Source organism: Homo sapiens, chromosome 2, assembly GCF_000001405.40.
Source record: "Homo sapiens chromosome 2, GRCh38.p14 Primary Assembly".
Taxonomy (NCBI): domain Eukaryota; kingdom Metazoa; phylum Chordata; class Mammalia; order Primates; family Hominidae; genus Homo; species Homo sapiens.
The window spans coordinates 28,788,316-28,813,391 of NC_000002.12; the positions used below are offsets into that span (position 1 = coordinate 28,788,316).

A 25,076-nucleotide genomic window follows, 5' to 3' on the forward strand; every position below is an offset into this window, starting at 1 on the left:
ATACCACTGGGTTGTTTGGTTATTCATATGGAGAAACTACCCAAAAGATGAACAGCCTTTTCCATGTATTGTTGTGCTGTAAGTGCCATGCACATATTTCCTATATGTGGAAAGGGTTGGAAAGTACTACCTTAAGAGGCCATGGAAGATTATATTTGTATGGTTTGTATGGTTGCTTTAACAAAAGTATAAGTTACATAGGCTGGAATACTTAGGCAAGTGATGGTCATTGTTTAGTAAAAGGTAAGAGGGCAAGAAAGGAACTGAAATTTGATGTAGATGTGCTATATTCTATAAATCTGTAAATTTTGTTCTTAATTGCTGTATTTCTGTCCTTTAAAGGTTTGCTCTGTGATTTGCTATGGTCTGATCCAGATAAGGATGTGCAAGGCTGGGGAGAAAATGATCGTGGTGTTTCCTTTACTTTTGGAGCTGATGTAGTCAGTAAATTTCTGAATCGTCATGATTTAGATTTGATTTGTCGAGCTCATCAGGTATGAAATATAAAACTCTTAAGCTTTTTCTTTTTTCTTTCTTTTTTTTGGGGGCAGACGGAGGGGCAGACAGATTCTTGTTCTGTCACCCAGGCTGGAGTGCAATGGCGCAATCTCTGCTCACTGCAACCTGTGCCTCCCGGGTTCAGGCAGTTCTTGTGCCTCAGCCTCCCAAGTAGCTGGGACGATAGCCGTGTGCCACCACACCTGGACTCTTAAACATTTATTATTTGTTAACTTCACATAAGCCCTCTCATTTTGTTTTGAGGAAACATATCCAAGAAAGCTAAATGAGTTGTACAAGGAAAGCAGTAGGAGAGGTGGCAGAGCCAGTTCCTGGATCTCACACTTAACAATCTAGTGATTTGTTAACCTTTTATCACCCTAAAAGAGGAAATGTTTAGAAATATTTTGGGGCTGGGCATGGTGGCTCACATCTATAATCCCAGCACTTTGGCAAGCTGAGATGGGTGGATTGCTTAAGTACAGGAGTTTGAGACCAGCCTGGGCAACAAAATGAGATTCCATCTCTACAAAAAAAATCAAAAATTTAGCTGGGTGTGGTGGTGCGTGCCTGTGGTCCCAGCTACGTGGGAGGCTGAGGTGGGAGGATCGCTTGAGCCTAGGAGATCAAGGCTGCAGTGAGCCATGTTTATGTCACTGCTCTCCAGCCCTTGTGAAAGAGCTAGACCCAGTCTCAAAAAAAAGAATGTATTTTTGTAGTATACAGCAAACCTAACAAAATTTTCAGTGCTTCTTTGAAGCTTTGTAGATATGATTTAGATTTTTTTTTTTTTTTTTTTTTTTGAGATGGAGTCTCACTCTGTCACCCAGGCTGGAGTGCAGTGGCACAATCTCTGCTCACTGTAACCTCCGCCTCCCAGGCTCAAGCGATTCTTCTGCCTCAGCCTCCGGAGCAGCTGGGATTACAGGCACGCACCACCACGCCTGGCTCATTTTTGTATTTTTAGTAGAGACAGGGTTTCACCATGTTGGCCAGGCTGCCCTTGAACTCCTGAGCTCAAGTGATCTGCGCCTCAGCCTCCCAAAGTGCTGAGATGACAGGCGTGAGCGTGAACCACTGTGCCCAGCCTCATTTTTATATAATCTTTGTGCATAATGGCGATTTTGATAAGAGCAAACCACACTTTAAAAAAGTATTTTTGAGACCATTGAAGAATTTGATTGTGGCTCAGTGCAGTGGCTCATGTCTGTAATTCCAGCACTTTGGGAGGCTGAGGCAGGCAGATCCTTTGAGCCCCAGGAGCTGGAGACCAGGCTGGGCAACATGACAAAACTCTGTCTCCACAGAAGATACAAAACAGCCAGATGTGGTGGTGTGCACCTGTAGTCCCAGCTTGCTTGGGAGGCTGTGGCAGGAAAGTCGCTTGAGCTCAGGAGGCAGAGGTTGCAGTGAGTGTAGATCGTACCATTTCACTCCTGCCTGTGCAATGGGTGTGAAACTCAGTCTCAAAAAAAGAGAACATTTGATTGTAGACTTGGTAATAGGTATGAATTATTTAATCTTTTAATTTTTTGTTTTTGTTTGAGGCCGAGTCTCACTCTGTCACCTAGGCTGGAGTGCAGTGGCATGATCTCGGCTCACTGCAACTTCCGCCTCCCAGGTTCAAGTGATTCTCCTGCCTCAGCCTCCCGAGTAGCTGGGACTACAGGCGCCTGCCACCACGCCTGGCTAATTTTTGTATTTTTAGTAGAGACGGGGTTTCACTATACTGGCCAGGCTGATCTCAAACTCCTGACCCCAGGTGATCTGCCCACCTCAGCCTCCCAAAGTGCTGGGATTACAGGTGTGAGCCACTGCTCCTGGCCGGTATCAATTATTTTAGCTGTTTCATAATCATTAATTGTTATGTAAGAAGAATGTCTGTGTTTTTCCAGGAATGCATACTTGAGTGTGTAGAGGTAAAATGACATGCCTGGGATTTGCTTTAAAATAATATCAGCAAAGAGAAAAGGAGAGGGAGAAGATAAACAAATGTAGCAAAATCATGAAAAGTATTGAATTAGGCTGATGAGTTAATGGGAGTTAATTCAAGTCGTCTTTATCTACTTTTGTGTATATTTGAAATTTTTCATTATAAAAACATTTATACAGTTCAGGGTTTTTGGTTGTCTTTTATGTCCGCCACCACTAACTAGATTGTGTACTCTAAGGAAGGGATTACAACTTGTTTTTGAATCTCTGTTGCTTTATATAGTTGCTGACATTGTAGCATAGTGTATCATGCACATACAGTGTTGAATAAATTAATAAAAGCGTATTTAATTAAGTATATGCTGTCCCACAGTACTTCCCTTTCTTTCTGGAGCTTTACTCCCCATGACACTTACTACTGCTGCCTCTTTCTTTGATCCTAAGTGATAAAAATGACTGGCTTTTTATTCTTTGCTTATTGTATATTACATGCCACTTTTATTTAGCAGGATTTCTTGGTGGTTCCATTGAAATGAGGTCATGTTCCCACATCCTTTGATTTTGGCAAAGTAGTTTTTTGTTGTTGTTGTTTGTTTTTTTTGTGAGACAGAGTCTCACACTGTTTCCCGGGCTGGTGTGCAGTGGCACCATCTCGGCTCGCTGCAACCTCCACCTCCCGGGTTCAAGTGATTCTCCTGCCTTAGCCTCCCGAGTAGCTGGGACTACAGGTGTATGCCACTAGCCTGGCTAGTTTTTGTATTTTTAGTAGAGACGGGGTTTCACTATGTTGGCCTGGCTGGTCTCGAACTCCTGACCTCGTGATCTGCCCGCCTCGGCCTCCCAAAGTGCTGGGATTATAGGCACGAGCCACCTCGCCCGGCCTGACAAATAGTTTTTTAAATCAGTAAAACTGTGTTTATGATTTTGATAAATATGCCTTCTATTAAATAACAAGGCAGAATTGCTAAGTTTCCTAACTAAAATGACCCCTGATAATCAGTTTTTTTCAGCCATAGATCTTCATTCACTGGTCTTTTCAAAAATAAATGATGATTTTTAAAAATCAGGTTTCTGAACTACGCTAGTTTGCATGGTCTTTTGTTTTCCAGAAACTGCCAAAATCCTTCTATTGTGCTTATTTTCAAATAATTGTCTCTAAAATTCTAGAAATATTCCCTTTAAAAAAGAAAATTTGAAAGAATGAACAAGTAAGCAAACTAAAAAACCAAGAACTAAAAACATGGAGTCCATGACCAGCCTGGGCAACACAGTGAAACACGAAACCCTGTCTCTACAAAAAAATACAAAAAACTGGCTGGGCACCGTGGCTCACGCCTGAAGTCCCAGCATTTTGGGAGGCTGAGGCGAGTGGATCACCTGAGGTCAGGAGTTCGAGGCCAGCCTGAAAAACATGGAGAAACCCCATCTCTACTAAAAATATAAAATTAGCTGGGCACGGTGGCACATGCCTGTAATCCCAGCTACATGGGAGGCTGAGGCAGGAGAATCGCTTGAACCTGGGAGGCAGAGGTTGCCGTGAGCCGAGATCGCGCCGTTGCACTCCAGCCTGGGCAACAAGAGCAAAACTCCATCTCGAAAAAAAAAAAGAAAAGAAATACAAAAAAATTAGCCAGGCATGGTGGCACACACCTGTGGTCTCAGCTACTCAGGAGGCTGAGGTGGGAAGATCTCTTGAGCCCCAGGAAGTTGTGACTGCAGTAAGCCAAGATTGCACCACTACACTCCAGCCTAGGCAGCAGAGCGAGACCCTGTCTCCACACAAGCACATACACAGAGAAACAACTAAAAACATGAGTGCCATTTGCTATGTGGAGCAGGGGTCACAGGGATTAGATAAGGTGGCTATGGTCTTAGGAGAAAAGGTTCATCTAAATTGTACCATAAGGTAATTTCAGCAGAAGCATGTTCCTAGTACTGAGGTAGGAGTTATTTTAATAAGTAAATGCCTTCGTAATTGCTTTTTTATATTAGCAAGTGGTGTCGGATAATTTTGCTAATTAAAAGATACCTAAAATAAATTTAAAAGTAATCTTGCCCACCGTAAATAAATATAAAATATTTACATATTATTGTGTTCCTCAAATTTGTAGACTGAGAGAAAAATTGTTTAAATTACTCAGAAATTGACAACTGGTTCTAGAAATGTTAACTCATCAAGGCCAGGCACGGTGGCTCACGCCTGTAATCCCAGCACTTTGGGAGGCCGAGGCGGGCAGATGACCTGAGGTCAGGAGTTTGAGATCAGCCTGGCCAACATGACAAAACCTCATCTCTACTAAAAATACAAAAATTCATCGGGCTTGCTGGTGGGTGCGTGTAGTCCCAGCTATTTGGGAGGCTGAGGCAGGAGAATGGCTTGATCTGGGAGGCAGAGGTTGTAGTGAGCCGAGATCATGCCACTGCACTCCAGCCTGGGTTGACAGAGCAATATTCCATCTCAAAAAATAAAAAATAAAAATAAAAATACAGTCTGTTGGCAGTTAATTTAAGGAGCATGATCCATGTAAATTAAACTCAACTTAGTAATGTTTTCAGTGTGTAGCCAGTAGTGTTTTCAGTGTGTAGCCATGTAATAATAATACATATTTTAAAATCAAAGCAAGAAGTAAGCTCTTCGCAAAGTCGTTCATTGTCTGGTTGTTGCTCATTTAATTAAGGATTCTGTAGTTGGATTATAATGCCCTCATCAAAGTAATAATTGATGTCCCTCTGAAAAACACGTAGATTAATTAAAATAAAATTAAATTTAAAACTTAAAAACAAAAAAAGTACTTAGTGTCCCAGCTCCCTGTAGTCATGATGCCTATTAGTATGTTTTGTTTCATGGGGAGCCTTGCAAATGGCATGATTTTTAAGCTTTCAGGAGTGGTGAATTTATTATTCCAATTAAGCTAAATTGTTTCCATTATAGAAAAGGCACACCAGTTTTAATGTTCTAAGCAAAGTTTAAGAATAAAAATCACAACTTCCAAAACAAAACAGGGTGGTTTGGGGGTGAGGTGGGGCACAGTCTTTGCCACCTTAACCTTAATTAGTATAGATGGTTCAGAATTACCCACCAATAAATGTTTTTTCTTCTGACATTTCCTTTGACAGGTGGTGGAAGATGGATATGAATTTTTTGCTAAACGACAGTTGGTAACCTTATTTTCAGCCCCAAATTACTGTGGCGAGTTTGATAATGCTGGTGGAATGATGAGTGTGGATGAAACTTTGATGTGTTCATTTCAGGTATGATGTAAACATAAATATATAAGAACTAGAAATCTAATAAAAACTATTATCAGAATTCGTTTTAGATTTGTGAAGTTTCCTTGAGCAAGTGTTGAAAGTCTGTTTAATTCAGAAGTGATTACCACTCAAACTCATTAGATATTTCTATTTTCAGTCACAAAGTTTCCAGCATTTGTGGTATATATCAAATATGACCGTTTTAGGGAACCTAAGTTACGTCAGTCATTCTTGATTCAGATGTTTTAATTGTTAAAATTCCTCTATGACCTTTTGAATAGTGGCTTACTAAAAGAATGTGAATGTAATGAATAGTTTAGGCTTTTGTTTTCTTTTGCAAAGTAAATGGGTGGAACAGACACTGGGAAAAGAATTACAAACTCAGATGAAAATAAAGTAAAATAGTTCCCTGGCTGGGCACGGTGGCTCACTCCTGTAATCCCAGCACTTCGGGAGGCTGAGGTGGGCGGATCATGAGGTCAGGTGATCAAGACCGTCCTGGCTAACACTGTGAAACCCCATCTCTACTAAAAATACAAAAAAATTAGCCGGGCGTGGTAGCATGCACCTATAGTCCCAGCTACTTGGGAGGCTGAGGCAGGAGAATGTCGTGAACCCGGGAGGCAGAGGTTGCAGTGAGCCGAGATTGCACCACTGCACGCTAGCCTGGGCGACAGAGCGAGACTTGGCCCCCAAAAAAAAATAGTTTCCTGAGGAAAAAAAACTTTCAAAATAATACTAAACTACCCGTTTATGTCACAGGAACATTTATTTATTTATTTTTTTCTTTTGAGGAAGCACATTGTATACCATGTACGGGGGGTTGTTTGCTCACTTTTATTATAATATTTTTATTAATTTATGTACGTACTAGGTTCAGGGGTTACATGTGCAGGTTTGTTCCATGTGTAAATTACATATTGCTGAGGTTTGGTGTATGAATGATCTTATCTCCCAGGTAGTGAGCATAGAGTTTTTCATTTCACATTCCCCCTCACCCTTTCCACTCTAGTAGTCCCCAGTGTCTATTGTTGCCATCTTTATGTCCATGTTTACCCAGTGTTTAGCTCCTGCTTATGAGTGAGAATATGTGGTATTTGATTTTCTCTTCCTGCATTAATTGGCTTAGGATAAAGGCCTCCAGCTGCATCCATGTTGCTGCAAAGGACCTGATTTCCTTCCTTAATTTTATGGTCGCATAGTATTCCATGGTGTATATGTACCACATTTTCTTTATCCAGTTCACTGTTGATGGACATCTAGGTTGATTACATGTCTTTGCTATTGTGAATAGTGCTGTGATTAACATACAAGTGCTTGTCTTTTTTTGTACATACCCAAAGTAGTGGGATTGCTGGGTCGAATGGTGGTTGTTTTAAGTTCTTTGAGAAATCTACACACTGCTTTCCACGGTGGCTGAACTAATTTACACTCCCACCAGCAATGTTTGAACATTCCTTTTTCTCCACAACCTTGCTGACATCTATTATCTTTTAACTTTTTATTAATGGCCATTCTGACTGGTGTGAGACAGTATCTTGTGGTTTGATTTACATTAATAGTGATGATGAGCATTTTTTCATATATTTGTTGGCTGCACGTTTGTTTTTTGAGAAGTGTCTGTTCATGTCCTTTGCCCATTTTTAATGGGGTTGTTTTTTGATTGTTGAATTAAATGCCTTATAGAGTCTGGATATTAGACCTTTGTTGGATGCATAGTTTGTATTTTCTCTCATTCTATAGGTTGTCTGTTTATTCTGTTGATAGTTTATTTTGCTGTGCAGAAGCTCTTTAGTTTATTTTGGTCCCACTTGTCAATCATTGTTTTGGTTGCAGTTGCTTTTGGGGACTTGGTCATAAATTATTTCCCAAGGACAGTGTCCAGAATGGTATTTCCTAGGTTTTCTTCTAGGGTTTTTATAGTGTGAGGTCTTATATTTAAATCTTTAATCCATCTTGAGTTAATTTTTGTGTATGGTGAAAGGGGTCCAGTTTCAGTCTTCTGCATATGGCTAGCCAGTTATCTTAGCACCATTTATCAAATAGGCAGTCTCTTCTCCATTGCTTGTTATTGTTGACTTTGTTCAAGATCAGATGGTTGCAGGAGTACAGCTTTATTTCTGGCTCCTCCATCCTGTTCCATTGGTTTATATGTCTGTTTTGGTACCAGTACCATGCTGTTTTGGTTACTGTAAGCCTTATAATGTACCTTGAAGTTTGGTAGTGTGACGCTTCTGGCTTTGTTCTTTTTGCTTAGGATGCTTTGGCTATTCGGGCTCTTTTTCAATTTCATATGAATTTTAGAAAAGTTCTTTTCTAATGCTGTGAAAAATGACATTGGTAGTTTGATAAGAAGAGCATTGAATCTGTAAACTACTTTGGGCAGTATGGAGATTTTAACAATATTGATTCTTCTATCCATGAGCATGGAATGTTTTTCCATTTGTTTGCATCACCTCTGATTTCTTTCAGCAGTGCTTTGTAGTTGTAGAGATCTTTCACCTCCCTGGTTAGCTGTATTCCTTGATATTCTTTTTGTGGCTATTGTAAATGCAGTTCTTGATTTGGCTCTCAGCTTGGATGTTTTTGATGTATAGAAATGCTACTGGTTTTTATACATTGATTTTGTATCCTGAAACTGATTAACAAAGTTGTTCATCAGTTCCAGGCACGTTTTGGCGGAGTCTATGGGGTTTTCTGTGTATAGAATCATTATCGTCAGTAAAGATTGTTTATCTTCCTCTCTTCTTATTTGGATGCCTTTTATTTCTTTATCTTGCCTGATTACTCTGGCAGGGACTTTCAGTACTCTGTTGAATAGGGGTGGTGAGAATGGTCATCCTAGTCTCTTGTTCCAGTTCTCAAGGGGAATGCTTCCAGCATTTCCCTTTTCAGTACGATGTTGGCTGTGGGTTTGTCAGATGGCTCTTACTATTTTGAGGTATGTTCCTAATTTTTCAGTGCCTAATTTGTTGAGGGTTTTTAACATGAAAGGGTGTTGAATTGTATTGAAAGCCTTTCTGCATCTATTGAGATGATCATATGGTGTTTGTTTTTAATTTTATGAGGTGAATCACATTTATTGATTTGCATATGTTGAAACCTTGCACCCCAGGAATAAACCCTTCTTGATTGTGGTGAGTTAACTTTTTGATGTGTTGCTGGATTCGGTTTTAGTATTTTGTTGACGATTTTGCATCTGTGTTCATCAGGGATATTGGCCTGAGGTTTTCTTTTTTCCTTGTGCCTCTGCTAGGTTTTGGTATTACAATGATGCTCACTTCGTAGACTGAGTTAGGGGGGAGGTCCTCTTCCTGGATTGTTTGGAATAGTTTCAGTAGGATTGGTACTAGCTCTTTGTACATCTGATATAATTCAGCTGTGAATCTTTCTGGGCCAGGGCTTTTTTTGGTTTATAGGTTTTTTTATTACTGATTCAGTTTTGGAACTTGTTATTGTTCTGTTCAGGATTTTAATTTCCTCCTGGTTCAGTCTTCGGAGTTTGTGTGTGTTTCTATGAATTTATTCATTTCTTAGGAGGTCATGTGTGTTTCTATGAATTCATTTCTTGGGAGCGCATGTGTGTTTTTGTGAATGTATTCATTTATTCTAGGTTTCCTAGTTTGTGTGCACAGGTGTTTATAATCTCTAGGTATTTTGTATGTCTGTGGGGTTGGTTGTAATGTCACCTTTCTCATTTCAGATTGTGCTTATTTGGATCTTTTCTTAATCTAGCTAGCAGTCTATCTTGTTTATTCTTTTGAAGAACCAACTTTTGGTTTCAACATTTACATTTTTAAAAGAGGCCAGTTTTAGCTTTAGTGTGCTCCTACAAATCATTCTTGTTCACTGAGTAAAACAGCTTCAGTACTTTGCTTTTGCAAAGGCTATTCTATGTCTTTGATGTACACACACTGTATTTCTCTTAAAATGCATTGGGGCTTTCCCATTCCTCTTTCTCTTTATCATAATATACTGTTTCCATCAATTAGTACAATTGAATGGTAAATGGTTGATTGCTCATTTACAAATTAAATATAGTAACCATACCTTATCCTTCCAGCAGTTGTCATAGTGGTGTTGGATTAATATATTCTCTTCACTAAGGCACTATTATGTTCTAAATAGTTTTTAAAAAATACTTTGTACATATTTCTATACTGTTTTAGTTTTGGAAAATCATGACTTTTTTATGTATAATGTAGGTTAAAGCTCTATTTACATCCACCAGAATGAGTGTAGTAAAAAAGCCAGACTGTATCAAGTTTTGGCAAGGATTTGGAGGCATTAGAATCTTCATACATTAATGGTGGGAATAGAGTTCTCATATGATGCAGCAGTTTTACCTCTAGGTATATACCCAAGATATATGAAAACATGTTCACACAAAAACTGTTACATAAATGTGCATTATTCCTTATAGCCGAAAAAGTCACACAATTCAGATGTCCATCAGCTACTGAATAGATAAACTGTGGTACATCCATACAATGGACTGTACAATGTACAACTCAGCAATAAAAAGGAATGAAGGACTGATACTTCAAAACTGGTTTTGAAAACCTGAGTGAAAGAAGCCAGTCACAAAAGACCACATATTATATGATGCCAGTTATATGAAATGTTCAGAATAGGCAATTCTATAGAGACACATAGTAGATTAGTAGTTGGTTAGAGTTAGAGGATGTGGAGAGCAGGAATGGGGAGTGACTGCTGATGGGAACAAGCTTTCTTTTTGGGGTGACAAATGTTCTAAAATTAGATTTATATCAATAAAGCTGTTTTTTAAGTAAAAAGATCTATTTATACATAAATAAATAAGGTCTGAAGGGTTTGTGACTTGTAGGTTAGTTACCCTCCTAAGTTACTGTATCAGAATTATGATGACAACATAGATCTTCTGACTCTTAAACCAGTGTTCTTTTCCTCACAACAGAGATACACTAAGTTCAAAAAGTTTTTTACTTAAATCTAAGGATTGGATAGTTGATAGAGTTAGTGTACTTTTGTTATTAAAATATGAGTGGAATGACAAAGTTCAGACATTTGCACACTTTAAGAAATGTTTATGGAACTTTGCTATTCTACATTTTTATTGCATTTTTGCAGTTTATGCCATTTATTGAAAATCACAATTGTAACAATTTTCTTAACTTCTGTACATGAAAAAATAACATTATTTGTTAATAATTTACTTTAAGATATTGAAACCATCTGAAAAGAAAGCTAAATACCAGTATGGTGGACTGAATTCTGGACGTCCTGTCACTCCACCTCGAACAGCTAATCCGCCGAAGAAAAGGTGAAGAAAGGAATTCTGTAAAGAAACCATCAGATTTGTTAAGGACATACTTCATAATATATAAGTGTGCACTGTAAAACCATCCAGCCATTTGACACCCTTTATGATGTCACACCTTTAACTTAAGGAGACGGGTAAAGGATCTTAAATTTTTTTCTAATAGAAAGATGTGCTACACTGTATTGTAATAAGTATACTCTGTTATAGTCAACAAAGTTAAATCCAAATTCAAAATTATCCATTAAAGTTACATCTTCATGTATCACAATTTTTAAAGTTGAAAAGCATCCCAGTTAAACTAGATGTGATAGTTAAACCAGATGAAAGCATGATGATCCATCTGTGTAATGTGGTTTTAGTGTTGCTTGGTTGTTTAATTATTTTGAGCTTGTTTTGTTTTTGTTTGTTTTCACTAGAATAATGGCAAATACTTCTAATTTTTTTCCCTAAACATTTTTAAAAGTGAAATATGGGAAGAGCTTTACAGACATTCACCAACTATTATTTTCCCTTGTTTATCTACTTAGATATCTGTTTAATCTTACTAAGAAAACTTTCGCCTCATTACATTAAAAAGGAATTTTAGAGATTGATTGTTTTAAAAAAAAATACGCACATTGTCCAATCCAGTGATTTTAATCATACAGTTTGACTGGGCAAACTTTACAGCTGATAGTGAATATTTTGCTTTATACAGGAATTGACACTGATTTGGATTTGTGCACTCTAATTTTTAACTTATTGATGCTCTATTGTGCAGTAGCATTTCATTTAAGATAAGGCTCATATAGTATTACCCAACTAGTTGGTAATGTGATTATGTGGTACCTTGGCTTTAGGTTTTCATTCGCACGGAACACCTTTTGGCATGCTTAACTTCCTGGTAACACCTTCACCTGCATTGGTTTTCTTTTTCTTTTTTCTTTCTTTTTTTTTTTTTTTTTTTTTTTGAGTTGTTGTTTGTTTTTAGATCCACAGTACATGAGAATCCTTTTTTGACAAGCCTTGGAAAGCTGACACTGTCTCTTTTTCCTCCCTCTATACGAAGGATGTATTTAAATGAATGCTGGTCAGTGGGACATTTTGTCAACTATGGGTATTGGGTGCTTAACTGTCTAATATTGCCATGTGAATGTTGTATACGATTGTAAGGCTTATGTCACTAAAGATTTTTATTCTGATTTTTTCATAATCAAAGGTCATATGATACTGTATAGACAAGCTTTGTAGTGAAGTATAGTAGCAATAATTTCTGTACCTGATCAAGTTTATTGCAGCCTTTCTTTTCCTATTTCTTTTTTTTAAGGGTTAGTATTAACAAATGGCAATGAGTAGAAAAGTTAACATGAAGATTTTAGAAGGAGAGAACTTACAGGACACAGATTTGTGATTCTTTGACTGTGACACTATTGGATGTGATTCTAAAAGCTTTTATTGAGCATTGTCAAATTTGTAAGCTTCATAGGGATGGACATCATATCTATAATGCCCTTCTATATGTGCTACCATAGATGTGACATTTTTGACCTTAATATCGTCTTTGAAAATGTTAAATTGAGAAACCTGTTAACTTACATTTTATGAATTGGCACATTGTATTACTTACTGCAAGAGATATTTCATTTTCAGCACAGTGCAAAAGTTCTTTAAAATGCATATGTCTTTTTTTCTAATTCCGTTTTGTTTTAAAGCACATTTTAAATGTAGTTTTCTCATTTAGTAAAAGTTGTCTAATTGATATGAAGCCTGACTGATTTTTTTTTTCCTTACAGTGAGACATTTAAGCACACATTTTATTCACATAGATACTATGTCCTTGACATATTGAAATGATTCTTTTCTGAAAGTATTCATGATCTGCATATGATGTATTAGGTTAGGTCACAAAGGTTTTATCTGAGGTGATTTAAATAACTTCCTGATTGGAGTGTGTAAGCTGAGCGATTTCTAATAAAATTTTAGTTGTACACTTTTAGTAGTCATAGTGAAGCAGGTCTAGAAAATAAGCCTTTGGCAGGGAAAAAGGGCAATGTTGATTAATCTCAGTATTAAACCACATTAATCTGTATCCCATTGTCTGGCTTTTGTAAATTCATCCAGGTCAAGACTAAGTATGTTGGTTAATAGGAATCCTTTTTTTTTTTTTTAAAGACTAAATGTGAAAAAATAATCACTACTTAAGCTAATTAATATTGGTCATTAAATTTAAAGGATGGAAATTTATCATGTTTAAAAATTATTCAAGCACTCTTAAAACCACTTAAACAGCCTCCAGTCATAAAAATGTGTTCTTTACAAATATTTGCTTGGCAACACGACTTGAAATAAATAAAACTTTGTTTCTTAGGAGAAAATGATTCTGTAATTCCAGTGTCACTAATTTATATTGTTCTTTCCTCTGATTTTTTTCAGGTTAGTGATTTTTTTGTATACAATTTAATCCAAATGTTATGACATTCAGAAATCATGAAACACAGTAGATATCTGTTATAATGTGGTGTATCACATGGATTATAAAGCAAAGTTATGGTCGATTTCTATTCTTGAAAGAATCAACTACAGTGAATCCTTTGCATTTGAAGCCTTAACATGCATTGCTTTAATTTTGCCCAGGGACAAATTTTAATAATCAGCAAGACTGGTTTGTGCAAAGCGTTGAGTCATCAGGTATTTAGAGCCTAGCCAGCTACCCAGTATCCATGCTGCCATATCCCTTCATTGTAAAAAGTACCTAAACATTCGTGAAATGATTTTTTTTAGCTGAAAAATGCTGGCAAGAAGAATTTTAAAGCTTAAAATAGGTGGTAAATTTGAAGTATGAGTGTGTTCACGAGAAACATAGGCTTTTCAAAAAAATTTTTATTCAAGGCAAAGCAAGGAACATCTTGAGATATGTCTCAAGAATATAAAGATGTATTATTTTAAGCCAAGGAGCTGAAATATATCTCAGTTTATAAATTCAGGTATATTCTTTTTGTCTCCATGGCAACCATAACTTTTGAACCAAAAAAAATTGTTTTTACATCTTTATGCTGAAAATGTGTTTAGATTAGGAATATGGTCGGGCTGAATTTGCTGTTGCTCCCTAACCAAATCCACCTCTTGTTTTCCTTGTGAGTCCATGGCTAAATCAAAGCTGCCCCTGAGAAGAGACTTAATCCAAGCCTGATTGTACTAGTGGCATCACTTAGAAGTAGGCTTTCCCTCTTCCTAGTAGATCTCAATGTTTTATAATTCCTTAAAACAGCTGAAAATTGGGACAACATACTTTACGCAATGAACAGTAGTTAAATAGGAAATAAACTAGTTCCATATAAGTATACACCTAGAGTTTTAATTACCTTTATAATGTTTCTTAAAAGTGAAACTTAGATACAATTGTGATTGGATACTTAGATACTAAGTGAAACTTAGTGTAACAATTTTGATCTGTTAAATTGGATTTTACATGTACATTTGAATGCCAGAATTTCTAAATAAATCCCCTGGTTAGGAAATTTTAAAAGTCAAAGCTTGTTTTCTTCAACCACTACCTTCTACATTGGTTGACTTAGACCGTAAGCTTTTTAAGTTTCTCATTGTAATTTACCTTCTCATGCAGATTGCTGATGTTTTATTAAACCTTATTTTTACAAAAATGACCATAAATCTTTGCTTCTTTCCTCTTAGGGATCTTTGCTAGTTTATGTGATTATGAAATCTTACTTACAACACCACATTGTTTGGGGTATACAGGGTGGAAGATAGCAAGTGAACAGGGGGTGCGGGTGGGGAGGGTTTGTGTGTGTGTGTGTGTGTGTGTGTGTGTGTAAGAGAGAACAAACTAACGGCCTGAGGCTAATAGGTTCAGCATTCCTTTCAGATACTATATGCAAAAAGGTGGGAACCTAAGGTCTGTTCCTGGAGGCTTTTCAGTGAAGCCTGGCATAGGATCGGCAAGTTAAAATATGTATTAATTTTTACAGCTGCCTAATCAGAATGATTCAGCAGATTTACAGGCCAAATTTTTCCTACAAAACCAGTGACATCACAGCTAAACATCTAGAACTTTCATAGATTATTGTACAAATTTATTAAAAGGCACAGTAATTTATGGTCTATCATGTAAACACTGATTCTCGACAAAACCACAAAGGCAAGTAATACAGTGCAACAGAAAAAAGTAGTCCAGAGGAGTTTCTTTTTTTCTTTTTTTCTTTTTTTTTTTTTTGAGAGAGAGTCTTGCTCTTGTCTCCCAGGCTGGAGTGCAATGGCATGATCTTGGCTCACTGCAACCTCCACCTCCCAGGTTCAAGCGATTCTCCAGCCTCAGCCTCCTGAGTAGTTGGGATTACAGGAGCCTGCCACCACACCCAGCTAATTTTTGTATTTTTAGTAGAGACGGGGTTTCACCATGTTGGCCAGGCTGGTCTCTAATTCCTGACCTCATGATCTGCCTGCCTCGGCCTCCCAAAGTGCTGGGATTACAGGCGTGAGCCACCTCTCCCGGCCAAGAGTGTTTTCTTAATGTAACAAGTTTAATCTGAAGTAAGTCTTAAATCTCCTAGTATATTTTTTGGAAAAAAAAAAAGCCAAAGAAACAAAACCAGAGTGTTGAAATGCTACCTCCAATATATGTATAACTCAAACTGATAATTGGCATGGTTTCTGACAGTGCTGCTGTTTACCAGCAGGTTATTGACAGACTGACACCTGTTCCATTCTTGAATAAATATAAACTTTGTCTCTCTAGCTCTTAGTTTAATAAAAATCCCTGAGAAGGAGGATGTGCAGGGTGGAGTTGCTGGAGAAAACTTAATGTCTTGTAGAACTCATAACTACTCAATTTACCAACTTAAAAATTAAGCTACATATTAGGAAATGTAGTTTATCACATGTAATAAGGAATTGAGATTATCAGGAAATCTTGGGTGAGGCTCAGGATCCAACATATAACTGGGCCCAGCACATAAAACTGTTACCTGACTTCAATAAGAAATTTTAGCCGGGCGCAGCGGCTCATGCCTGTAATCCCAGCACTTTGGGAGGCTGAGGCAGGCAGATCATGATGTCAGGAGATCGAGACCATCCTGGCGAACATGGTGAAACCCTGTCTCTACTAAAAACATAAAAAATTAGCTGGGCGTGGTGGCGGGCGCCTGTAGTCCCAGCTACTTGGGAGGCTGAGGCAGGAGAATGGCGTGAATCCGGGAGGTGGAGCTTGCAGTGAGCTGAGATCACGCCACTGCACTCCAGCCTGGGCGACAGAGCGAGACTCCATCTCAAAAAAAAAAAAAAAAAAATTTTAGAAACACAGATCTCTGCCTCCCAGTGTAATTGCCTCAGATTTTGTAGCACATCTCTTAACTGCAGCTTGATAATTCCACTGAAATTAATTCTATTGGTCATATTAAAGAACAGGTTAAAAAGTCTTTATTGCTGTACTGTAAAGCCTGTTTTGAGTGGAAGACCCTAATCTTCTTTTAGTGAATTCCCCAAACTCTGGGTATGCTCACTGACAACACAAGTTGTAATCCCTTTTTTTTTTTTTTTTTTGAGACAGGGTCTCACTCTCTCGCCCAGGCTGGAGTGCAGTAGCCTGATCACAGCTCACTGAAGCCTCAGCCTCCCAGGCTCAAGTGATCCTGCCGCCTTGGCCTCCCAAAGTGCTGGGAGAATTATAGGCATGAGCCATCATGCCCAGCCCATTTTATTTTTAATATATCATCAATTATTTCTTATACAGATCCATTAGGATGTTGAATGCTCCTTTAAAACTTTGTTGTATTTGTCGGCCAGGCGCGGTGGCTCATGCCTGTAATCCCAGCACTTTGGGAGGCCGAGGCGGGCCGATCACGAGGTTAAGAGATCGAAACCATCCTGGCCAACATGGTGAAACCCCGTCTCTACTAAAAAAAAAATACAAAAATTAGCTAGATGTGGTGCGCACCTGTAGTCCCAGCTCCTCGGGAGGCTGGGGCAGGAGAATCACTTGAACCTGGGAGGTGGAGATTGCAGTGATCCAAGATGGCACCATTGCACTCCAGCCTGGGCAACAAGGGAAACTCCGTCTCAAAAAAAAAAAAAAAACTTTGTTACATTTGTCTTTAAAAGTCATAAGGCCTAGATCAGTCTTGTATGTGACTAGAATGTAGCTCTATGGGCAGGGTTTTTTGTTTTTTTTTTTTTGAGACAGGGTCTTGCTATGGTGCCCAGGCTGGAGCACAGTGGCACAATCTCAGCTCACTGCAACCTCCTGGGCTCAAGCCATCCTTCCACCTTAGCCTGCGTAGTAGGTGGGACTACAGGCATGTGCCACCATACCTGCTAATTTTTGTAGAGTGGGGGGTTTTACCATGTTCCCTAGGATGGTCTCCAACTCCTGAGCTCAAGTGATCCGCCCACCTCAGCCTCGCAAAGTGTTGGGATTACAGGCATGAGCCATTGCGCCCATGCAGGTATTTTTTTTCTCTTTTGTTCACTGATTCGTATCTCCTTATCGTAGAGTGGCGCCTGCCACATAGGAGGCCTGCAGATACTTGCTTAATGAATGGCAAGTGGGTGTCAAAAATCTCTACTTGTATTACTGTTTTGACACCTTGACCTGAAGAAGTTAACCACAAATAATAAAATTCCAGTTTTTCTTTATCCTCATGTAACTGCTTTTGTCTCTTATGACAAGAATGCTGAAGTTTCAAGGAGAAAATTGATTTGAGTCTGTACTGCCAAAATAAATGGTTTGTCAAAACTCTGGCCCCTACTTTGTAAACTATTGGTAAGTTTAAGAAGTCAGCCAGGCACGGTGGCTCACGCCTGTAATCCCAGCAGTTTGGGAGGCCAAGGCTGGCAGGTCACTTGAGATCAGGAGTTCGAGACCAGCCTGGCCAACATGGGAAAACCCTGTCTCTACTAAAAGTACAAAAATTAGCCAGGCCTGGTGGCACACACCTGTAATCCCAGCTACTCGGGAGGCTGAGTTTCTTGAAGGAGCATTTTGCAGCTAGCACCTGACAGGCATAGTGGAGAAGTTGCCTGTTACTGAGAACAAACATCGCAAGATCCTCAGGATTACTTTCTTTCCTCCCCTTTCTATAGTCTCTATTCTGTTTTCTTGATCTTAATGTCACCTTTGTAGTGAGCCACCTCACATATTTTAGGAAAGTTGTATAATTTGTGTAATATTTTGTCTTTCAGAATTCATCCAGTAAGTATGAGCACTTAAAACTAGGAATCGAACTTGGAGAGGCTGTTGCCTCATCTAGCACAAGTATGTCATAGGCAGTATGGAGAAAGATCAACTATCTTTTCAGTAAGGAACAAAAAAGTCTGATACAGTGGAGAAAACTATTCTAGACAGAAATTTAATACAGTTATGTTGTTAGAATGATTGTTCTATTTCTTTTGTTGTTGCTTTTGTTTTGTTTTCTGAGACGGGGTCTTGCTCTGTCATCCAGGCTGGAGTGCAGTGGCGCCATCTTGGCTCACTGCAGCCTCCACCTCCTGGGTCCAAGCAGGTCTCCCACCTCAGCCTCTCGAGTAGCTGGGATAACAGGAGCGTGCCACTGCGCCCGGCTAATTTTTGCATTTTTAGTAGAGACGGGGTTTCACCTGATCTCAGGTGATCCACCCACTTCGGCCTCCCAAAGTGTGCTGAGATTACAGGCATGAGCCACCGTGCCCGGCCAATTGTTCTATTTTTGATACTTCTCAGAGCTTTTAATCTCTTTAACTTAAAAGAACAGTCACCCAGGCTGAATACGTGGTCTCAGTGCAGAATTACACGAAAGAAATTTGGCCCAATTTGTCTCAAAGACCCTTACAACTCCATCAAGTAAGAGAGGGAAGGGATATTGCATGAACATAGCAACTATCCCTGCTTTCAAGTGGTTTAGCAGGTTAGGTAGAACCATTTACTAGAAAAGGGTGCTGAAAAGAAAATCCAGAGCTGTCTTCTGTGTTAAGTCGGCTGGGCACGGTGGCTCATGCCTGTAATACCAGCACTTAGGGAGGCCGAGGCGGGCGGATCACAAGGTCAGGAGATGGAGACCATCCTGACTAACACGGTGAAACCTCGTTTCTACTAAAAATACAAAAAATTAGCCGGGTGTGGTGGCGGGCACCTGTAGTCCCAGCTACTCGGGAGGCTGAGGTAGAATGGCGTGAACCCGGGAGGCGGGGCTTGCAGTGAGCCGATATCGCGCCACTGCACTCCTGCCTGGGTGACAGAACGAGACTCCGTCTCAAAAAAAAAAAAAAAAAAAAATCATCTAGTCACAGAAAACCTGAAAATAAGTTGACAAGATGTAAACTAATGGGAACTCTTAAAATTGGTAACACTGCTTGGAAAATGAATTTAGCATTTATAACCTTTTAAAACTGAACATGTGCATGCCCTACAACCCATCAATTTCACTTTAAAGCATTTATGGAAAAAGTGCACCATGGTGCATTAACAAGCAAAGTAGTCAAAATACTTGATTTTAAGTCGTAGACATTCACCAATCAGACCACCAGTTAATCGGAACTTGAACCAGCTGTAAACAATATGGCCTTGCAGAGGCGTTCCCCATGGCATTCACAGTAGCAAAAGGATCCAAATGCCCAAAAAAATGACCCAAATGCCCATTGACAGGAGCATTGGTATATTATGGTATATTTCTAGAACAGAAAGCAACAATGAAAATGATTCACAGTGTTATGCATTAGCATGGCTAAATCTATGAGGAATACTGAGGTTGAATAGTTCACAAATAAAACTTGTGTTTTAGGATACGCAAAGAAAAGAGAATGGGAAACAGTCGCCTCCTGGGGATCATAATGGGAGAAGGAGGAGCATACAGAATCTCAACAGTATTGTTGATGTCCTGTCTCTTGGATGTTAGGTTCATGTGTTTTGGTAGGCGGTGGCTTCACAAGTTTTTATTATGTCTCAGCCTCCATATATGCTACATGTATTGTTTTGTACATTTTTAAAGTATGTATATGATCCGATTCATATATAATTGTATCTGTATACACAAACATTTTTATTTTAAAAAGCTGGTTAATAAGATTACATAAATGATAATTTCAGAAAATGCTACAGGAATTCAAGCATGGCACACAGCCTGCACTTACTAAGCACTCAAATGATGATGAGCTGATTAATTTAAGCTGGGTCTCAAAGGCTGGATACCAGACAGAAATTTTAAATGAGAGTGATGAAGAGAGCACACTACAGTAATATGCAAGGTCAAAGAAGTGGGAAAGTTCAAAACAAGTATGAGTGTTTCTCTCATTCTTACTGGATAATAGGAGATACATTTAGGAAAGGAGAGTTAGGAAATTAGAATGGGGACAACCTGGAGGCACTGCAGGACACAGTGCAGGAGATGATCAAGTTATGGACAATCAATGCTTTTTTAGTGGGGAAAAGCCATGCCTAGAGACAAAGGAATAAATTGTTCAGTTAAGTGTTTTGAGTTCTCATCCAATCCCAGGTCAAATGAAAAGAGGCAAGAAGGAAGCTAACAACACCTACTGTGGACCAGTGCACTGCTAGTTTGCTCGCTATCAAATTCGCCCCAGACGCTTTTACAGAGTAGGTGGTATCACCCTACTTTTACATTTAATGAGAGGTGCCAGGGTTAAATGATTTGACCACGTTCATACAGCTAGTAAAATGGTAGTACCTGAATTCAAACCAAGTGTATATGATTCTAAAGTATATTCACTTTTCTCCACACACCAACATAGTTTAAAAAACAAAACAAACTCAGGAATGAGAACACTCAAGAAGGCTTAGTTGGTAGTAACCCTTTACTTGAAGTCAAAACTTAAGCAATAAGCTGCTTCCCTGATAGCTTAATGAATATTTATGTGTATTTGCTGGCTTTTATATGCAAATTTTACATGTTTCCTTTGTAAAGATTTTGGGATCCTAAAGAACCTTCTCATAACTGTACTTTGTGCGTTATACAGCCACTTGCATTTCCTTCATGGCACAACTCACTGTGCCTTGTATTTTAGTTGTGTCCATATCTGTCTAGCTTGGAAGCTCTAGAAAGGTAAGGCCATGTTGTCTTCATCATTGTGGTACTTGCCATGCCTCTGTGTTTTTCATGTAGCGGACATTAATTGTTCAGTAAATATTTTATACTCGAGGCTGGAAATTAATCATCACAACACCGGTACCTTGCAAAAACAAGGGGAAGAGCAGAGAGAAGTCAGGAAGGATCCTTAGGGAAAAGCTAGAGGAATGAAGCTTGAAGCAGCCATTTTCCTCAAGATTTTCACAACCAGTTGATGCTTCTTGGCCCATTCTCCCATTTATAGGCCAGGGAGAAAGAGTCAAGGGCATGTGTAAGGAAAAATAAGTTCCCAGTTGGCCCCCTCCTCGTACTTGTAGGTGAATTTGTCATTATTGTGCTGTGTGTGGAAGCACAAGAAGGAAGGAATTAACTCGTTCTTCAGAACTGCTGATTGAGGAGCTATTTGCTGGAAGTACCACAAGTAGGCAGAGCCAGGTTGCCTTTTAAGAGTAATCATTGTATTAGCCAAAAAATCTGGAAGCAATCCAAATATTGAAATGACTTAAATGGTCCATCCACTCTGGAATATTATGCAGTCATTGAAAACGTTTCGAAAGACTAGCAACATGAAAAAAGCCGTGATATGGAGACCAAAAAAAAAAAAAAAAGATTTACACTGGGTGTGGTGGCTTAGGATTGTAATCCCAGTGGGAGGATTGCCTGAGTTCAGTTCAAGGCCAGCCTGGGCCACATAGGACTCTGCTCTACAAGGCATGTTTAAAAATTAGGCGGGCGTGGCGGCACCTGTGGTCCCAGCTACTTAGGAGGCTGAGGCGGGAGAACTGCTTGAACCCGGGAGGCAGAGGTATGCAGTGAGCCGAGATCGTGCCACTGCTCCAGCCTGGGCGACAGAGCGGGACTCAGTCTCAAAAAGAAAGAAAAAGCCGGTTATACCTTAGGAGGGACATAAGGAAAGGATGGGATCAAAAAGCTGTTTAGAATTCTTTTTATTTGTTCATTCAACATGCATGTATTAAGCACCCACGTAGTCAAAGGCTAGGACAAAGCCAAAAAGATTACTGCTGCAGATTCACAGTTACAATAGAATGGCCCCTTCTCACAAGAAGCCACCGTATTCACACGTTGTGCTTTTCTCAGTTCAAGCGGCCTCTTCCTTTTGAGTAACCAGGGTAACCACGCTGTGCCCGCGTGTGCCGGGCGGGGAGGGGAGGCCGCAGCCCCAGCCCCGGGGGCCTGGTTGTCTAATCGAAGGGAAGTAAACGGCCCCAACGCAAGCCTGACTGCGAGACGTGCCCAAGGGAGGTAGGTCGAATGAAGAGGGTTGTGTGAGTTTTGCGCGGGCAGGCGGGATAACGGAGGAGGGAGGCCCGCGGCCGAGGCTCGGGCGGGCGGGGGGCAGGGAGGGGCGGGGTTCGCCGGCGCGCACTCCCAGGCAGGCCCCGCCCCCTCGGCCGGCTGTGCGCGCTGATTGGCCCCTGCCGGCCTCGCGCTCCCTCGCTCCGGGTTGGCGGGAGACCTTAGAGCGGGTACCGCTGCTGGCTAGCGACCGACGAGCAACCGTCTGAGGCCAGGAGCGCTGCGACGGAGCCTTGACCGCCGTTGCCCGGCCCTCTCCCGCGCAGCCCCGGGCTTCCGCAGGTACCTGTGCTCGCCCCCGGGAAGGGGCCTCGCAGGCGAATCTCCAGTTTCGAGTGTGCCCGGTCCCTGGGTTCGCTCGCCGGCGACCCCACCGCCCGCCTTAGATGAGAAGGCAGCGCTCCAGCCTCGTCCTCACGCCGCCTCCCGTGGGCGCCCTCAGCTGCCTTCGCGGCGACGACACACGCGCTCCCCGCAGCGGGCTCTGGGCTGAGGGACCTGGCGAGGGAGGCAGTGGCCGCGCAGGTTGGGGCTTTGGCCGCCCTCCGCCCGGCGGCGTAGCGGGTGAAGGTTCCAGGGGAAGGACGGGCAGGGCCGATACCGGAGGCTGCTCCCGAAGCTCGGCCGTCTGCTCGGAGGGAGGGCCCTGGGCAGGCGCTCCCGTCTCCACGTGTGCCTGCCGCCTTTATTGTGGGAGGAATGGAGATTTGGGGGGTCTTTTTGATAAATCCTACCTCCTTATGTCCCATTAAACACCTCTTTTTGTCCCCAAGATCGTCTGCCCCAGAATTTTGAGATCTGAGCTGCTGTGTCTCAGTACCAGGCCCGTAGCTCATTTCTCAGAATTCACGAAGATTCTCTTACATGACATCCAGTAGGACTGGAGGGCCCCTAGCCTCAATCTTTTAAAAAGCCTTATGCCGAGTTGGGCGAATCCTTGAGGCCAGGATTCGAGAGCAGCCCACAGCGAAAACCCCGTCTCTACAAAAAAATAATGAAAAAAAAAATTAACCGGGCATGGTGGTGCGCACTTGTAATCCCAGCTACTTGGGAGGCTGAGGCGGGAGAATCGCTTGAACCCTGGAAGCGGAGGTTGCAGTGAGCTAAAACCCGTCTCTACAAAAAATAACTTAAAAAAAAAGTATCCTGGCATGGTGGCGGGCGCCTGTAATCCCAGCTCCTCGGGAGGCTGAGGCGGGAGAATCGCTTGAACCCGGGAGGCAGAGGTGGCAGTGATCCGAGATCGCCTTATAGCTGGGGTTAGCTGGTTTTGTTTTCTTGGCAAGGTGACGATAAGTAATACTGGAGTGCTTACTATGTGTCAAGTGTTTTACACATGATTTTATTTAATATTTAAAACTGATTTACTGGTTAAAGAATATGGGACTTTGATGTCAGTTCTGCATTCAAATTCTAGCTTTATCACTTACTATGAGCCTTTGGGAAATTTCTTAACTTCTTTAAGCCTCAAATTTCTTATCTAGAAAATAAGGATAAAATAATACCTACCACACAGAGATGTTTTGAGAATTAAATGAGATAATGCATGTAACACATTCATCAGTGTCTGGCACATATTCTCTGTGTGTGACTGCATTCATAAGGAAGTTAAGGCTTACTTGCCTGTCCTGACTGAGTTGCCAATGGATATTGCTATTAGGTTTTTCATATAGGCAAATGAATCCCCAGACAACTTCTGCTTGTTTCATATTATGGCTGGGAACCACCACCCTTTATATCACCCCCCAGAGAAGAGGTTATTTCAGATGCCTCTAGAATTTTTGTGATTTACTTACCAAAAAAAAAAGAAAGAAAGAAAGAAAGAAAATCCCAAACATCCTATTCAAGTATGAATCCTGGTATGATTTTTTTAATGTTCATGGAGTCCATATAAAAATTCACTGAAGGAGGCCGAGCATGGTGTCTCACGCCTGTAATCCCAGCGCTTTGGGAGGCCGAGGCGGGCCGATCACCTCAGGTCAGGAGTTGGAGACCAGCCTGGCCAACATGGCGAAACCCCATCTCTACTGAAAATACGAAAATTAGCGGGGCGTGGTGGCAGGCTCCTGTAATCCCAACTACTCAGGAGGCTGAGGCTGGAGAATCGCTTGAACCCAGGAGGCGGAGGTTGCAGTGAGCCGAGATCGAGCCATTGCACTCCAGCCTGGGCGACAAGAGCGAAACTCCGTCTCAAAAAAAAAAAAAAAAAAAAAATTAAAGGATTTTACCTGATGAGCACAGTTTCTCCTACTTCTCCTTCTTTCCCTATCTCTTGCAGTTCCTAAAATGGCTCATATTTTTAATTTGGTTTTCGTTCCTTTCCTCTTGCTTGCTCTATAAGAACTCTCATTCTCTTAGTATATCTAAGTGAAGAGCAAAATTAAAAGATACCCTTAGGTAGAAATTGACCAAGACTAGCATTGATAGCTTCTCTCCTTCAGCTTGTTGTATGTACCTTTTCTGCCAGTGTTTGCTTATTAAAGACAATGAAGCTCCACTTGGGGAATTTCAGACATTTTCTTCTCATTCAGTTTTCTGAAATTGTATGGGAAATATCCCAACACATACATAAGGGTTTAGAGGAATAGTGTAAAGACGCCTACTGTGGATATATTTTACCTTTTTGATTGATAGAAAATTTGCATTATATTTTATGATATATCCATGGTTGTTTTAATATAAAAGCACTATTTTAGGTTACTTAGCATTGAGTAAAACTTATCTTC

At 40.4% G+C, this 25,076-nt stretch overlaps 2 protein-coding genes across 4 annotated transcripts in view, besides 2 other annotated features; both read left to right on the top strand.

Annotated features, from left to right (window-relative positions):
* PPP1CB (protein phosphatase 1 catalytic subunit beta) overlaps nucleotides 1–14,625 on the top strand; it is a 51,337-nt gene extending 36,712 nt beyond the window's left edge. For both annotated transcript variants that reach the window (NM_206876.2, NM_002709.3), the window contains 3 exons: nucleotides 343–494; nucleotides 5,548–5,682; nucleotides 10,884–14,625. In NM_206876.2, the coding sequence (NP_996759.1) occupies nucleotides 343–494; nucleotides 5,548–5,682; nucleotides 10,884–10,988 (392 nt within the window). In that variant the 3' untranslated portion in view covers nucleotides 10,989–14,625. The remainder of the gene's footprint in view (nucleotides 1–342; nucleotides 495–5,547; nucleotides 5,683–10,883) is intronic.
* Nucleotides 22,120–22,269: a silencer, noted in NCBI's record as "silent region_11313". NCBI's record gives its function as "represses an Ori minimal core promoter by ATAC-STARR-seq in GM12878 lymphoblastoid cells {active_cell/tissue: GM12878}" and the evidence as "EXISTENCE:reporter gene assay evidence [ECO:0000049][PMID:35858748]".
* Nucleotides 22,300–22,549: a silencer, noted in NCBI's record as "silent region_11314". NCBI's record gives its function as "represses an Ori minimal core promoter by ATAC-STARR-seq in GM12878 lymphoblastoid cells {active_cell/tissue: GM12878}" and the evidence as "EXISTENCE:reporter gene assay evidence [ECO:0000049][PMID:35858748]".
* The window catches only part of SPDYA (speedy/RINGO cell cycle regulator family member A), a 39,777-nt gene continuing 37,219 nt past the window's right edge, over nucleotides 22,519–25,076 (top strand). For both annotated transcript variants that reach the window (NM_182756.4, NM_001142634.2), the window contains exon 1: nucleotides 22,519–22,632. The gene's annotated coding sequence lies outside the window, so the exon portion shown is untranslated. The remainder of the gene's footprint in view (nucleotides 22,633–25,076) is intronic.